At 39.4% G+C, this 17,925-nt stretch overlaps 1 protein-coding gene across 3 annotated transcripts in view, besides 1 other annotated feature; it reads left to right on the top strand.

The window, feature by feature from the left end:
- The window catches only part of CA10 (carbonic anhydrase 10), a 529,711-nt gene that overhangs the window by 93,155 nt on the left and 418,631 nt on the right, over positions 1–17,925 (top strand). The window lies entirely within an intron of this gene.
- Positions 10,374–10,526: a silencer, noted in NCBI's record as "fragment chr17:50133703-50133855 (GRCh37/hg19 assembly coordinates)". NCBI's record gives its function as "represses an EF-1alpha promoter that drives an FKBP-Casp9 reporter gene in an ReSE screen in phorbol 12-myristate 13-acetate-treated (for megakaryocytic differentiation) K562 erythroleukemia cells {active_cell/tissue: K562(+PMA)}" and the evidence as "EXISTENCE:reporter gene assay evidence [ECO:0000049][PMID:32094911]".

Here is a 17,925-nt window from a genome sequence, read left to right as displayed (position 1 = left end):
TCTTCTGCCAGATACCCTACATCATTTCTCTTAAGTTCAAAGCTCCACAGATCTCTGGGGTGGAGCAAAATGCCACCAGTCTCCTTGCTAAAGCATAGCAAGAGTCACCTTTATACCCGTTTCCAACAAGTTTTTTTATCTTCATCTGTGTTAATCTGTTCTCATGCTGCTAATAAGGACATACCCAAGACTGGGTAATTTATAAAGGAAAGAGGTTTAATTGACTCACAGTTCCACATGACTGAGAAGGTCTCATAATCATGGCTGAAGGTGAAGGAGAAGCAAAGTCATGTCTTACATGGCAGCAGGCAAAAGAGCTTGTGCAGAGGAACTCCCGTCTATAAAACCATCAGATCTCATGAGACTCATTCACTACAAGAACAGTATGGTGGAAACTGCACCCATGATTCAATTATCTCCACCTGGCCCTGCCGTTGACATGTGGAGATTATTACAATTCAAGGTGAGATTTGGGTGGGGACCCAGCCAAACCGTATCACCATCTGAGACCACCTTAGCCTGCTGTATTTCATTGTCCATATCACTATCAGTATTTTGATCAAAGCCATTCAACAAGTCTCTAGGAAGTTCCCACATCTTTCTGTCTTCTTCTAAGCCCTCCAAACCATTCCAACCTCTGCCTGTTACCCAGTTCCAAAGTCACTTTCACATTTTGGGTATCTTTAGAGCAGCACCCCATTCTCTGTGATACCAATTTACTCTATTAGTCCGTTTTCATACTGCTATAAAGAACTGCCTGAGACTGGTTAATTTATAAAGATATCAAGTTTAATTGACTCATAGTTCAGCATGGCTGGGGAGGCCTCATGAAACTTACAATCGTGTTGGAAGAGGAAGCAAGTCACCTTCACAGGGCAGCAGGAAGGAGAAGAGCTGAGTGAAGGAACAACTGGATGCGATGAAAACTCACTCACTGTCAAGAGAACTGCATGGGAGTAACTGTCCACATGATTCAATTATGTCCCACCAGGTCCCTCCTACAACATATGGGGATTATGTGAACTACAATTCAAGATGAGATTTGGCTGGGGGCACAGCCAAACCATATCAATGGGCAAAAGCCTGGAAGCTTGGAAGAGAATGTTCACTAGTGCAAGAAGAGCTCTGGGAATTAAGGCCTTGGAGAGCAGCAGGGGCCTGATTATGGAGGGCCATACCAACTGGGAGTTTGGATTTTACCTGAAAGGAACTAGAAGTTTGGATTTTACCCTAAAGAATCAAAGGAGAGATTGAAACTCTTACAGAATTCAAAGTCAGAGAAGAGGGCCATATGAGCTAAGATAGGAGCAGTGAGGGGCCTAGGGATGGTTCAGCTTCTAGAGTTAGGGACCTTATCTCTTCCCACCACCTATTCCTCGAGGATATACCTCAGGCCTTCCATGCACCAGGGGCTCAATGTTTGCCAAACAAACTTGGGTCAGAATAGACAGCAATATTCCTTAAAGAAAAAGACAAAGGCTTGACTCGGGAGACAGAGTGAAAGGCTGTTCCTCAACCCTTAAATTGAGTTATAAAATAATAATAGTAACAAACACATCAGTACAATCTGTAGTACATGCTATAAATGGAAAGTACTCAAGGTTTTAAAAAGCCTAGTAGAAATAGTCTGGAGATCAAGGAGAGCCTCCTTGTGTAATCTAGGAGAAGCTAAGCTAAGGAAGGACGTTGCTAGTGCAGAGTCATCTTAGACCAGCTGTTTAAGGCAGAAGCATGAGCCTCAAGCGTGGGCATGACATGTATGAGAAATGGAACAAAGGTCACTGTGGCCAGAGTGCAAAGTGACAAGTGCAAAATGGTTGGAGATTGGGGTGGTCAGGGGCCAGCTCATAGAGGGCCTTGTGGGCCACATAAAGTATTTGGATGGAGATCCTGGAAATAAAGGACAATAGATAGTTTTAAGCACTTTACTCTTCCTCTGAGATCTGGGAAGCAGGAATTTCTGAGGAATTAGATCACCACTTATTCAGCAGCTTAAAATCATAATACAGAATTCCTCTGAATGATTAATAGAGGAACTCATTGCTGCCATTTCTGATCAGCATTGGACCTAGCAGGCTACTTTGGCTCAGGACAGCATCATCTGTTGCATTCTTTAAAATTGGGTACAAATGGTTTACCCAGGTCAATAACCCTCCCAGCTTGCTATTTTCCATCCTTTTCTTTTTGGGTAGTTTTAAAATCTAAAGATTATTGGACAAGGAAGGTAATTATACCCAACCACCTACAAGTTACCACTGATGTCTAATTGTTTATCAAAATGTCCACTTTAAAAAAAAAAAAAGTCTCATGATTAACAGGTAAGGAGTGTAAGCTCTTCTTTCTTCACAGTACTCCCAGGAAAGAAATCTGGCTGGTTGGTGAGGGTTACTTGCTGATCCAGGATGGCCAGCCTGGGGCTGTGCATGCTCTTCATTCCTTAATTCATGGAGTAAGTGGTACCTGCCTTGATTTTTTGGTTGCTACTTAAGAATTACCATTTATTTAGTAGTTTAAAATGACACACATTTGTTATTTCACAGTTTCCTTGGGTCAGAAGTCTGGACATGGCTTAAATGGATCCTCTACTGAGTCCCATAAGGCTGAAAAAGGTGTCATTCTGGCTGCATTCTCATCTGAAGTCAAGCTCATGTGGGTCCTTGGCAGAATTCAATTCCATGCAGTTGTAGGGCTGAGACCCTTGTCTCCTATGGCCTGCCACTGCTGAATAAGCAGTTCACAACACAGTTTGCATCTTCAAGGTTGGCAGGAAAGTGCCTTACTTACTTTAAATCTCCCTATCCTGAGAAGGCCTAGACTCTCTTTTAAAGGTCAAGCCTATTCAGTATAACATGCCTTTTTATTAACTGAAAGTCAACGGATTAAGAACGTTATTCACATCTGCAAAATCTGTTCATCTTTGCCAGAAATGGCAGTCTACTCAAGGAAGTGAAATTCCATTATACTCAGAAATCTCACTCATACTAGAGGGTGTGTACACTATGAGGTAGGAATGTTGGGGGCTGTCTTATTCCATTTGTGTTTCCGTAAATGAATACCTGAGGCTGGATAATTCATAAAGAATTTTGAGATAAAGAGATTCATTTGGCTCATGATTCTACAGGCTGGTGTACAAGAAGCATGGCACCAGCATCTGCATCTGGTGAGGGCCTCAGGCTGTTTCTACTCATAGTGCAAGTGGAAGGGGAGGCAGCATGTACAAAGATCACATGGTGAGAGAGGAAGCAAGAGATACAGAGAAATTGCCAGGTTCTTTTTAACAAGCTCTTACAGGAACCAATAGAGCAATAACTTGCTCATTACTATAAAGGTGGTACCAAGCCATTCATAAGGGATCTGCCTCTATGACCCAAACACCTCTCATTAGACCCCACCTGCAACATTGCGAATCAAATTTCAACATGAGGTTTGAAGGGTCAGATATTCAAACTGTAGCATTCCACGCTTGACTCTCCATGCCTCACATCCTTCTCACATTGCAAAATACAATCATTCTATCCCAATGGTCCCGAAAGTCTTAACTTGTTCTAGCATCTACTCAAAAGTCCCAAATCCAAAATCTCATCTGAGACTCAAGGCAAGTTCCTTCCACCTATGAGCCTGTGAAATCAAAAGCAATTCATCTACTTATAATATGCAATGTTTGTATAGGCATTAGGTAAACATTCTCGTTCACAAAGACAAAAATTGGCCAAAAGAAAGGGGTAAGCAGTCTTCATGGAAGTCTAAAACCCAGCAGGGCAGACATTAAATCTTAAAGCTCCAAAATAATCTTCTTTGACCCATGTCCTGCATCCTGGGCATACTGATATGAGAAGTGGGCTCCCAAGTCCTTGGAAAGCCCTGCCCCCACAGTTTTTCTGGGTGCAGCCCACATTGCTGCTTTTACAGTTTGGAATCTAATACCTGCAGCATTTCCATGCTAGTGTGGCTCATTGCCAGTGGCTATATAATTCTGGTGTCTGAAGTGTGGTGCTCCTGTTCCCACAGCTCCCCTGGGCACTGCCCTAGTAGAGGCTCCCTGTAGGAGCTCCTTCCCTGCAGAAGGCTTCTGCCTGGGCACCCAGGCTTTCCAATACATCCTCTGAAATCTACAGGCTTGGCAGCTTCCACTGCTCTTGCATTCTAGGAGCCTACAGACTTAGCACCAAGTGGATGCTGCTGAGATTTATGGCTTGCACCCTCTGGAGCACCAGCTGAAATAGTATGTGGGGTTATTTGTGCCTCACCTGGAGCTGGAGCAGCTTGAATGTTGAGAAAGCATATCAAAGTGGCTTCGGGGTAACTCGGGCCTGTTCCCTGAAACCATTTTGTTTTCCCAGGCCTGTGGGCCTATGATGGGAGGGGGCTACAAAGATTTCTGAAAAACCTTTTTCCAATTTTTTTGACTCTTTGCACCTGACTCCCTTTTATCCATTTTAATCTCTTTAACAAGTGGTTACCCCTCAGCACCACTGGATTTTTCTCCTGAAAACATTCTTTCCTTTCCTGTCACATTGCTAGACTGTAAATTTTTCATGTTTTTATATTCTGCTTTCCTTTTAATTACAAATTCCACCTTTAGGTAATTCCTTTGCTGCCATATCTTACTGTAAGCTGTTAAAAGTAGCCACACCTTAGCCAGGGATGGTGGTGGGTGCCTGTAATCCCAGCTACTTGGGAGGCTGGGGCATAAGAATCACTTGAACCTGGGAGGCGAAGGTTGCTGTGAGCCAAGATTGTGCCACTGCACTCCAGCCTGAGCAACAAAGCATGACTCCATCTCAAAAAAAAAAAAAAAAAAAAGTGGCCACACCACTTCTTGAAAGCTTTGCTTTGCGGCATATAGTGAATTTATGAGGTTTTCTCCCTCAGAAATTCAGTATGTGACCACCCCTTCCAAGAGACCCACATTCAGTCTCCCTTTGATAAGCCAGTAAGTTTATCCTTCAATACATCCCAATTAAGTGATAGTTAAAGTAATTGTATTAGTTTCCTATAGCTCCATGTGCTAGTCCTTTTTCACACTGCTATAAGGATACTACCCAAGACTGGGTAATTTATAAACAGAGGAGGTTTAATTGACTCACAGTTCCACATGCCTGGGGAGGCCTCAAGAAACTCACAATCATGGCGGAAGGTGAATGGGAAGCAAACACCTTCTTCACATGGAGGAAGGAGAGAGAAGAAGCCAGCAAGAGAGGAACCAGTGAACACTTACAAAACCATGAGATTTCATGAGAACTCACTATCATGAGAACAACATGTGGGGAAACTGCCCCCATGATCCAATCACCTCCCACTAGGTCTCTCAACACCTGGTAATTACAATTTAAGATGAGATTTGGGTGGGGATACAAAGGCTAACCATATCAGTCTTATAACAAATTACCCTAAAGTTAGTAGCTAGAAACAACAGATTTATTATCTTACCATTTTAAAAGTTGGACACACTAAAATCAAGGTGTCACTAGGGCAGCCTGCATTATGGAGGCTCTGAGGAGAAATCAATCCCTTGCCTTCTCCACCTTCTAGAAGCCACCTGCATTACTCAGTGCAGGGTCCCTTCCTTGCATGGCTCCAGCCTGTGCTTCTGTTATCACATATCTTTCTCTAACTCTGACCCTTCTGCCTCCCACTTTTCAGAATGTTTGTGATTGCATTTGGCCCATCTGGATAATCTAGGATGATCTCCCCATCGTAAGATCCTTGACATAATCATATCTGCAAAATATATTTTGCCATATAAGGTAACACATTCACAGGTTTGGTGGATTAGAATATGGACATTTTGGGAAGACCATTATTCTTTTTTTCATACTTACATTATCTCCAAAGCTAATGGAAGCACAATTAACCCATCACATGAACATATGATTTTATAGTTGTCAGTACTGGTTTACTCATGTTACTTCATTCATCCCTTACAAAATTTGCACTCATACTCCCCTTTTTCCAGATGAGAAAACAAAGCAAATTAGATAAAGTTACTATCTAAATTTCCAATGCAGGTCAACGTAGAAGCAGGTTTATAAATAAGCACATTTCTAATCCAATGCTCTTTCCACTACAAATATGTATAAATTTGATTAACAGGTGATACTTCTTGGATAGACAATAGTACTGTTCTGCTTATCTTCTAGAAAAAAATGAACTACAGGCAAAAATAAAAGGCTATATGCCAGATTAATCCACTGAAAACTCAACACAAATCTATCTTCTCTCTAGACATGATCTAGCATTTGGATATCATTTATTACATTTTAGAAAGCCTTTCCAGGTGTCATCTTTCAAAATAATTTTTTTATTTTGGGATGACTTTAGATTTACAGAAAAGTTATACAGGGAGTTTCCATATACTCTTTATCCAAGGTCCCTAATTTAATGCCTTACATTAGCAATACATTTGTCAAAACTAAGAAACCAACCTGGATACATTACTGGTAAACTAAACTCCAGATTTTTTTTTAATATCCGAGTTTTTCCACTAAGGTCCTGTTTCTGTTGCATAATCCAATTTAGGATACCATATTACATTTAGCCTTCATGTCTCTTTCGTCTCCTCTGGGCTGTGAAAGTTTCTGAATCTTTTGATTTTTCATGACTGACAGTTTTGAGAAATACTGGTGAGCTACTTTGTATAAAATTCCTGAATTTCTGTGTGTTTGATGCTTTTCTTGGTTAATCTGGGATTGTGAGTTTTGGGGAAAGGTTCCCTGGAGATAGAGTTCCATTTGCATTACATCCTATCAGAGGGTACGTGATATCAACATGTGTTTGTCTCATTTGTGACAACTTATAAAAAGACACGTATTTCTATCACCAATCAGTAAATGTGGAAGATTCAACAAGGCTAGAGATTGATCTTTAGTTGTAGAACAAATGAATGATGGAGTTGGACCTAGAACCAGATCACTTGCATTAACAGGTAGTATTTCTCGAATTGGACTGTACTCCAAAGCCCCTCCTGATGTCTTACTTTATGACATCAATTGTTTTGCTACAAAATTGTATGTAAACCTTTGTGTTTGAGAGTAGAATTTTGTTTCAAGTTATCTTAAGAATAAAACTTGCATTTTAATGAGCCCTGTGGCATATTGAATAACTCTCTCCATTGGAGGTAGTCAGTCATTAACTGTGTAAGGTCATATTTCAGCCATTGAGTTTTCTTTTTTTTTTTTCTTTAGCACTTTTTTTTTTATTATACTTTAAGTTCTAGGGTACATGTGCACAATGTGCAGTTTTGATACATATGTATACATGTGCCATGTTGGTGGGCTGCACCTGTTAACTTGTCATTTACATTTGATAGATCTTCTAATTCAGCCATTGAATTTTCTTGGGCAGGGAGTGTGTGTGTGGGTGAGCACACCAGTATTTTGTGCCCCCGGACTTTTTGTTATCAATTGTCTTCCTCCTTTGGATAATAGATGCAGCAACGGGTTCTGGAAAATGCTCAGTGGCTTGTGTCTTCCACTGACCAAACATGAGATCTTAGGCAAGTCACTTAGCATATCAGGAGCTTGTTTTCCTCACCTATAGAATCAGGGTATTGAGCTGCATGGTTTCCAAAGAACCATTCCAGCTCTGATATTTTTTTGTGAGCTTGCTAAGATTGGTTTGGAAGTTATAGTTAGCAGCATTAAGGAATAGAATATTGATTTCATCCACAGGATAATTTTATTATGTTCTCAATATCAGTGTTTGTAAGTGGAGGCAGTGATGCAAGTCTCTCTCTCTAGATTTCTGATTTTTCATCTCTAAGAGGAAGCAAGCAGAATTTAATGGATATATTCTCTCAGTATGAGAGGGTGATGTTACACTGACTCACCCTCAATTAGAAATACTTTGTTATTTCTTTTCCCCAAAAATGGGGATGCATAGTGTGTAAAATTTACTCAGAGCCTGATGTGCCAGACACTCTGCTAGACACTAGGTATACAAATCAGAATAAATGACAGCTCCTGATCTTAAGAGCTCGCAGTTGAGTTTAGAGACAGACATGCAAATTAAGAGTTACAGTTTAGCCTAATAAGGCATGTGAGACATGAGTGGTGGGATCCACACATGTGGATTGGCTGCAGAAAAAAGAAAACAACTAACCCTACCTTTGGGGTCAGAAAAGGCTTTGCAGATGAAGGCTTCTCTTGACATAGGGCTTAAAAGATGAATAGGCATCTGCCAGGTATGCAAGATGGAAAAGATCATTGCTGGTGGATTAAACATAGTGAAATCTGAACTGCTACTTAATAACAGATTGAAAACTTCATGTAACCAGTAAGCAGTCCTATTTATCATTTCATTTATGAGAGTCCCTATTATTACCACACTTCAGAGCTGCACGGCAGAAAGCCCACTGGACTTAGAAGGTCATGCTTTGGATCCCACTCCATTGTGTTCCAACCATTTGATGGACAATAATGTTTGAAAATCACCTAATGTCTCAGAGCCTCAGTTTACTCATTTGTAAAATACAGACAATAAGACAATGAGAAATGTGTCTCAAACATTTTTGTAAAAATAAAATTTTGTATTAGAGTTAGTCCTGCATCATAGACTATGAAAGTATACAAAGATATTACGATTTTTATTATTATAATTTTGCTTTAGGCTATTTAAAGTTGTATAAAAGCAACCTGATCAATTGTACCATTACTGAGTTCCTGATCCTTCTGAGTTCCATCTGATCCAGGGAGGCACGTGTAAGGCTTTTCAGTATGTGCCAACTACAGCGTATTGTACTTAAAGACACTACCTCATGTAAGTGTATATAAACCTGCATATATATTTCAGCACTGAGAGGGTTTGGGTCACGTTGCAGCCATCCAATATGAAGTACTCCTGTTGGATAGGCTTTTGTACCAATCCTTCTCAGAGGTTCATGGCTTTCCTAGTCACACCAGGAAATTTCTGGCCAATCAACACAAGTGGTTCTAGCTAATCAACCTCTTGAGAAACACTTTGGAACTTCAGGATCTACACAGTCAGAAGTGCACAAAGGAAGGAACATAGGGAGTGTTCCATGCTGGGTGCAGGCAGTAACAGCGTGCATTGTCTGGAGAGAATTTAATAATAATAATGAAACCCACCAAATGACCTGCTTTTTATTATCCCCAGGTGCTGGAAATTGTAAAAATGCCAGTGATAAAATACTCCACTTCGAAAAACCTTTTGTGGGTCTAAGCTCTAAACAATTGCTGTAGTTACTGTTGAGTTTTAACAATACAATTTACCCTTGAGCAATGTGGTGATTAGGGATGCTGACCCCCATGCCGCCAAAAATCCATGTATAACTTTGACTCCCCCAAAACTCAACTACTAAGAGCCTATGGTTGACCGGAAGCCTTACTGATAACAAATAGTTCATCAACACGTATTTTATATATTTATTAAATACTGTATTCTTACAATAAACAAAGCTAGAGAAAATAAAATGTTATTAAGAAAGTCATAAGGAAAAGAAAATAGATTTACTGTTCATTATGTGGAAGTGGATCATAATAAAGATCTTCATCCTTGTCTTCATGTTGAGTAGGCTGAGGAGGAGGGAAAAGAGGAAGGGTTGGTTATGCTGTTTCAGTGGTGGCAGAGGCAGAAGAGGTAGATAGATGGGGAAGCAGGATGGGCAGGCACCCTCAGTGTAACTTATTGAAAATAATCTGTGTATAAGTCGACCTACGTAGCTCACACCCCATGTTGTTCAAGGGTCAATTGCATGTTTTTGTTACTGATTCTCTACTATGCACTGTATTTTACATAGAATTTGATGGGGGAAACTCTAATTATTCAGTTAGCCTCCAACACAGAGGCATTCAGCTACATGAGTTTTGTTCCAAGAGAACATTTCAAAGGGTTCCAGATTGGTGGAGCTACTGTAGGCCAAGTCGTGTCTCTAATCGCTGTTGTACCACATATTCCTGAATTTCAGCAGTTCATATAAAATAAACAATAGCACTATGATTGTAAACACAAAGAACAGAGCTTGAATTACATCAACTATATCATTCTGTGTGACTATTTAGAGCTTTTATTTGTACTTGAAATCAGATATAGCTTTACTGAAGAGCAGTTTAGTTATCTGTTGATACTTTGTAAGGGTAAGTAGTGCTCACTGGGTGGTTGTATGATAATGGGATTGTTTACAGAATACACAGCAGGATGCTTTAACCTCAGGTTATTCCTTTTTGTCAAGCAGAAGAAAATCAAAGACAGGAAGACTATAACTCCCAACCAGGAATTCTACTTCTTATAACTGCAAAAGCATGACAGGGATATGCCTGTGGACACTTATAAAATGTAGTTTCTATAACAGTCTTAAAAAAGATAAACTATATAGCAAAGGCTTTTATGCAGCAAGTATCCAGCATGGGATGCTCTTACTTTGAAAATTTCACAACACTAGCAAGCCAGCTCCTCTTTCCCAGCCCAGCCTCAGTTGAAGGACCCGTTTTGATGATCATGGCTGAGGTTAGGGGGCTTCTTTCTCCCCACCAACCCGCTTCATGACTTCTTATGAATAGACGCCATGGTGACTTATGATTTTTGCATTCCAATTCCAAATTGCCCTGCAAGCTGCCTTCTTCCCTCACTGAACAGAATTGGGTCATCACTTCCTGCCAAATGCCCTTGTCGCCTTTCCAATCACCAATCACCAGTGAGTCTCATTTTGGACACCTCCTCTTCCTTTCTGGAAGAGTGCATATTTATAGATTTGAGGGTTCCTTTGCAGCCCGCTGTGCCTGCTCTTCCTCATGTCACCTCCTAAAAGGTAGACTTCCAGAGCCTCTTCATCTGCCATCTCCTCTTCTCACAGCTTCCATCAGTGGTCACCTGCTTTATGTGAACTACTACAAAATCTCCCACCCTAGTTCCAGTCACTTCCCAGTTACAACCTCATATTCCAAGAATTTGGTCAGCTTTACCTCCCCATGTGATCACCTGAAATTCACAGGGTGTAGCTAATATCAATTATAAATACTTTTATGCTTTATTTGAGGCTATCTGCCTTATTCTTAGAGATATGATGGGTTTCCCCTGAAGGATCTTTCTAACACTATATCAGTTGCCCAGAATTATGCCTCATTTAAAAGAGTTTTATATTCAGACACTGCCATTCTTGCATTTATTTTTACTAGGAAAATATTACCTTTTTATGGCTAATTGGGAGAAAATAACCCTTCATCTCATCTGTCTGAAACGGTATCAGTAATATATTATTATAGGACTTTTTATAATATATCACACAATAATATATCAGTTTCACAATACATTTACAGTCTTGATTTTTAATCAGGAATTTGGTGTTATGACAACTACTTTTTCTTGAATACATTCTTGGAGCCTCCAACATGCTGTTCTAATATCAACTGATGGCTTTCTAACCTTGTTTTCAGATATCACACTAAATTTGTTTTACTGCCTAGATTATTTCTATTCTTTCTCACATATTGTGGTATATATTTAAATTCACTTTATAGTTTTGGAAACTCCATATTTAAGTTTTGCTTTGTTTTTTTTTTTTTTTTCACCAGAAGGATATATGAGTGATGAGTTTTCTGAGTCCTCAGGTGTCCAATAAAAGGTTTGTCTTCACCCTCACACTTTACTGACAGTTCATCTGGTAATAAAATTCTAGTGTCAAAATTACCTTCTTTCCTTAAGATAGTCCTAGGTGTTACTCTATTGCCAGCTTGCAAAGAGTCTCAGATAAGTCTAATGCTTTTGTAGATAAATGTTCCCTACCAGACCAGGCCTTACTGGCTTTTTTAGGATATCATCTTTATTCCTGAAGTTCAAAAATGTCACTGGGATATATCTAAGTGTATATGTTTGTTAATTATTTGTGGGAGGCAGAGATTTCTTTTCCTGTTTTGTTTCCTGATCTGTAAATGCTAAGAACAATGCCTGGCAAAAAGTAAGAGCTCAGTAAATCTTATCGACTAAATGAATATTCAAGTCACTTCCTAGAAAAATTTTCTTCTATTATTTCTTTGATTATCTTCTCCCATCTGTTACCCCTACTCTCTCATTCTGGATAGTTTTTGCAACACATGGGTCTTTAATGCCTTTTTTTCTTTCCATTTATAATTTCCATATCTATCGGGGGAAATTCACCCCCGATATTTCACGTAAGTTCTTTTCTATTTTCCCTAAGTGTTGGCCAGTCTGAGAAATAAGGGAAAGAGTACAAAAGAGAGAAATTTTAAAGCTGGGTGTCTGGGGGAGACATCACATGTCGGCAGGTTCCGTGATGCCCCCCAAGCCGCAAAACCAGCAAGTTTTTGTTAGTGATTTTCAAAAGGGGAGGGAGTGTACAATTAGGGTATGGGTCACAGAGATCACATGTTTTACAAGGTAACAAAATATCACAAGGTAAATGGAGGCAGGGTGAGATCACAGGACCACAGGACCAGGGCGAAATTAAAATTGCTAATGAAGTTTCGGGCACGCATTGTCATTGATAACATCTTATCAGGAGACAGAGTTTGAAAGCAGACAACCAGTCTTACCAAAATTTATTAGGCGGGAATTTCCTCATCCTAATAAGCCTGGGAGTGCTACAGGAGACTGGGGCTTATTTCATCCCTTATGTACGACCGTAAAAGACAGCTGTCCCCAAAGTGGCCATTTCAGAGGCCTCCCCTTAGGGACACATTCTCTTTCTCAGGGATGTTCCTTGCTGAGAAAAAGAATTCAGCGATATTTCTCCTATTTGCTTTTGAAAGAAGAGAAATATGACTCTGTTCCGCCTGGCTCACAGGCAGCCAGAGTTTAAGGTTATCTCCCTTGTTCCCTGAACATTGCTGTTATCCTGTTCTTTTTTCGAGGTGCCCAGATTTCATATTGTTCAAACACACATGCTCTACAAACAATTTGTGCAGTTAATGCAATCATCACAGGGTCCTGAGGTGACATACATCCTCCTCAGTTTATGAAGCTGACGGGATTAAGAGATTAAAGACAGGCATAGGAAATCACAAGGGTATTGATTGGGGAAGTGATAAGTGTCCATGAAATCTTCACAATTTATGTTCAGAGATTGCAGTAAAGATGGGCATGAGAAATTATAAAAGTATTAATTTGGGGAACTAATAAATGTCCATGAAATCTTCACAATTTATGTTCTTCTGCCATGGCTTCAGCTGGTCCCTCCATTCGGGGTCCCTGACTTCCCGCAACATGTATCCTTTCTGTGCACTCAATTTCTATCTCTGCCTTTTTATGTTAATTTTTAGATTTCCTTTCTTATCTTCCATATTTCTTCTTTGGCTTTCAGCAATGTCCATTCTTTTGTACAGGACTTCTGTTACCTTCTTAAATTTTGACAATTATATCTTAATTTCCAAAAACTTTTCATTTTTTCTATTTATCCGTTTGAGTATTTTCTTATTTTATAGACATATTAGTTTGCTAAATTCTTGCAAGTATACTGATTGAACTTTTTAAAAGTTTTCTTTTGTTTTTTATGTTACCTTTCTTTGTTAATCTTGGTTCTTCTCTCTCATGCTATTGATTTCCCTCAGATGTCTGGTTATGTTTATCTATTTGTTCCTGTTTTAAACAAAGAGCTCAGTTGGTATTGGAAGCTGGTATGATTTCCTCTGCAGTTACACCTGTGCCTATGATAGCCCCCTACTTTTAATGAGAGGGTTAGAAATGGAGACAATGCTGATTTCACCATCTTCCTTCAAGATATAGGAGCAGAGGATAAAGAGACAAGTTGGTGAAATCTATTTCTAAAGTAAGGAAAACATTAGGAAGTGATATGTATGGTTGCATTTTAGTCCTCTAAAGAATTGTCCTTATTTTTTCATTTCTGTGTCAGCTGTGTGGTTCTGAAGTTACCTTGGTTTGGTCTGCTTCTCTCTGGCCCCAGGCACATAGTAGGAAGCCACCACACACACACACATCACTCACACTCACACACACTCTCTCTCTCACACACACACATACTCATACACACTGTATTGCTTTACTGGAAGGCCCTTTACACGGTTTCAATATGGGAGCAAATGCCATATCCAAACTTAGCATTAATATGCAAAGGAGGAGAAGGAAAAGCAGCCAAGGCTTTCATAGGTTGTACTCTAGTTATTGCCCTATGTAAGCTGCTTCTGCTCCGAGTACTTTTGTCAGCAGGTTTAACCTTTATCTAAGGAGCCAGTGAGAATTTAGGAAGAAAAGCTATTATACTACAAGGAGCTTATTCTCAGTCCTAGTTATTTATTTATTATTTTATTAAATCTGATCCTATTCACTTGATATCTTCTGAAAACTCCTCAAAATTCCTGGTCTTACAAGTACCACTTGTTCATATTTATTGAAGTTGTTATGTATTCATTTCTTTTCTAATATCTTTTCTGTAATAACATGTGGGAAGCATGCATGGAGGAGACAGTAAATATGTGTGCCCTGAATGATAATAAGCCAAAACTAAGTGAGTCCTCTTTTCATACCAAACTGGTTTATCCTTCTTAACTCCATTGTTTCAATGCCTTGCCAGGTCTGAGAGGCAAAAGTCAATGGCTACTCATCAGGGTTGGTGAATGCCTGTCTTTTTTTTTTTTTTTTTAAAAAAAAAAGCCTTTTAAGTTCAGGGGTACAAGTGCAGGTTTGTTTGTTACCTAGGTAAACTTATGTCATGGGGGGTTGTTGTTCAGATTATTTAATCACCCGGGTATTAAGCCTAGTACCCATTACTTATTTTTCCTGATCCCTCCTCCCTTCCCCCACCCTCCACCCTCTGAAAGGCCCCAGTATGTATTGTTACCCTCTATGTGTCCCTGTGTTTTCATCATTTAGCTCCCACTTATAAGTGAGAATATGAAGTATGTGATTTTCTGATCCTGTGTTAGTTTGCTAAGGATAATGGCTACTAGCTCCATTTATGTCCTTGCAAAGGACGTGATCTTGTTCTTTTTTATGGCCGCCTAGTATTCCATGGTGTATATGTACCACATTTTCTTCATCCAGTCTATCATTGATGGGCATTTAGGTTGATTCCGTGTCTTTGCTATTGTGACTAGTTCTACAGTGAACATATGTATGCATGTGTCTTTATAATAGAATGATTTATGTCCTTTTGGGTATATACTCAGTAATGGGGCTGCTGAGTTGAATGGTATTTCTCTCTTTAGATCTTTGTGGAATTGCCACACTGTCTTCCACAATGGTAGAACTAATTTACACTCCCATCAACCATGTATAGGCACTCCACAACCTTGTCAGCATATGTTATATTTTGACTTTTTAATAACAGCCATTCTGATTGGTGTGAGATGGTATCATTGTGGTTTTGATTTGCATTTCTTTAGTGATCAATGATGTTGAGCTATTTTTTGTAGACTTGTTGGCTGCATATATGTCTTCTGTCGAAAATGTTCATGTCCTTTGCCCGCTTCTTCATGGAGTTTTTTTTTTTTCTTGTGAATTTAAGTTATCTATAAATGCTGGATATTAGACCTTTGTAGGATGTGTAGTTTGCAAAATTTTTCTCCCATTCTGTAGGTTGTCTGGTTTCTCTGTTGATAGTTTCTTTTGCTGTGCAGAAGTTCTTTAGTTTAATTAGATCCCATTTGTCAATTTTGGTTTTTGCTACAATTGCTTTTCCTGTCTTCATCATGAAATCTTTGCCCATGTCTGTCCTGAATGGTATTGCCTAGGTTGTCTTCCAGGGTTTACGTGCCTTTGTTCCTTTGTTTCTTTTCTTCTCTCTCTTCATCCCTCCCTCATTTCTTCCTTTCTTTTCTTTTCTTTTCTTCTTCCTTCCTTCCTCCCTTCCCACTCTTCATTTCCTCCATTCTTCATTTTTCCCCTCCCTCCCTCCTTCCTTTCCTTCCCTTCCTTCCTTCCTTCGTTCCTTCCTTCCTTCCTTCCTTCCCTTTTTTTTCTTTTCTTTCTTGTCAAAACATACATTTCAACCCAGGCACTAAACAGGGTCTGGGTGTATAGCAGTGAACAAAACAAATATGGTCTTGTCCTCTCAGCTTATAATTTAGGAGATGAGGCAAATATCAACCAAACAAGTCTACAATAAATACGTATTTTCAAAGTATGCACATTCTATGAAGGAAATAAGAGTTGGGGGGCCTTGCTGGGAAGATGTCATTTGAAGGGAGCCCTGAAGGTTAAGTAGAATTTGTTCAGTGGACCAGCAAGTTTAGAAAGTTGCAACAAGGTGGAGCACAAACCTTGGAAGTCCTTGAAGTGAGAAAGAGCTTGGCATGTTGGAAGATGATAGAGAAAGCCAAGGAAGGGATTGAAGGACATGAAAAGAGAATGAGAAGCTGGGAAGAAGAGGCCTTGTAGGCCATTTGAGAATATTGAGGTTTAATTCTTTATTCAGTAGTGAGTGATTATAGAGTGTTAACCAGAGTAGTGGCATGCATGATATACATTGTTTACCAATCTGTTTAGCCGTTGTGGGGAGAATCAACTAGAAAAGGGCAAGCATGGAATTAGAGAAACTGCTTAGATGTCGATTACAGAAGTGCTTTTGAGAAATAACAGTGACTAGACTTGGAGAGTCAGGAGTAAAGAGAGCGATAAATTGACTGACTCTGGAAATGTTTTGGAGACAATGTCTACAGAACATACTGATGTATTGAATGGGGGAAAAAAAAGCAACGAAGGATGAATCTTAAGTTTGGATTTACAACACCTCCATGAATGATGGTGCCATTGTCTGAATTGGTAAACTATAGGTGATTCAGGTTTGGGGTGGGGAGATTCAAATAGTCATGTGTCACTTATCAGTGGGGATATGTTCTGAGAAATGTGCTAGACTATTTCATTGTCATGTGAACACACCATAGAGTGCACTTACACAAACCTATGTGACATTGCCTACTGTACACCTAGGCTATGTGGTATAGCCTATTGCTGCTAAGCTACAAACCTACACAATATATCGCTGTCCTGAATACTGTAGGCAACTGTGGCATAATGGCGAGTATTTGTGTATCCAAATATATCTAAACATAGAAAAGGGCCAGTAAAACATATGGTATTCCAGTATAATCTTATAGGATTATGGTTGTATATACAGTCCACCACTGACTGAAACATCTATATGCAGCACATAAATGTATTCTGTTTTAGTCATGCTAATTTTGATGCACTTGTGAAACTTTCAAAAGAAGGCATCTTGTTGGCAGGAGAAGTCTGAGGGGACATACACATTTGTCTCCTGCCAACATACAAATGATATTTATAGCCACTGAGTGAATGAAATTGGCTAAAGAGAAAATATAGCTTTCAAACAAAAGATTAAGAACAAAGAAAAGACAACGCTTTAGGAGATGGGCAGAGATGCCAAAAGTTTCACCCACAATGGCAACTCACATTAATATAGGACTATGTGAACATAGTGAGGTTTTGTTTGTTTTAACAAACACTTGTAAAACACTTACTTTGTGCCAGGCATGACTCCAAGCACTTTGCAAATGTTAACTTGTTTATTTCTCCTAACTTTCACATAAAGGAATTATTATGATTGTTGGCCATATTTTATGAGAGGAGGCATGTGCTGGTTTAGTAACTTACTCAAGGCCGCATAGCTAGTAAGTAGCAGAATCAGGACTCAAACCCAGGCAGTCCAGCTGCAGAATTCACATTCTGAGTACTCTGCCATGGTACTATTCTGAGCATCCTGTGGTCACACCTGGATTCAGTGAGACTCTCGCAATCATAAGTGAATATGTGAGATGGCAATGAAAGTACTTCTGCTCCTGTTTAGCCTTCTGGATCTTGATTCTTCCTAACGCCCACCACTTAAAGTCAATATTGCTCAAACTCATAGCTTTTAACTACAAAATAATTCTTATATATGTCATTTTATTTTATGCCTTCTGCTACCATTGTGGTTTCAGGCTTTCAGAATATTGTGATAAACCCCTACCTTGTTTTTATTTTCTTCAATCATTTTTT

Source organism: Homo sapiens, chromosome 17, assembly GCF_000001405.40.
Source record: "Homo sapiens chromosome 17, GRCh38.p14 Primary Assembly".
Classification (NCBI taxonomy): Eukaryota; Metazoa; Chordata; class Mammalia; order Primates; family Hominidae; genus Homo; species Homo sapiens.
Note: the sequence above shows the minus strand (reverse complement) of the source record. Positions and strands in the feature narration are given on the sequence as shown.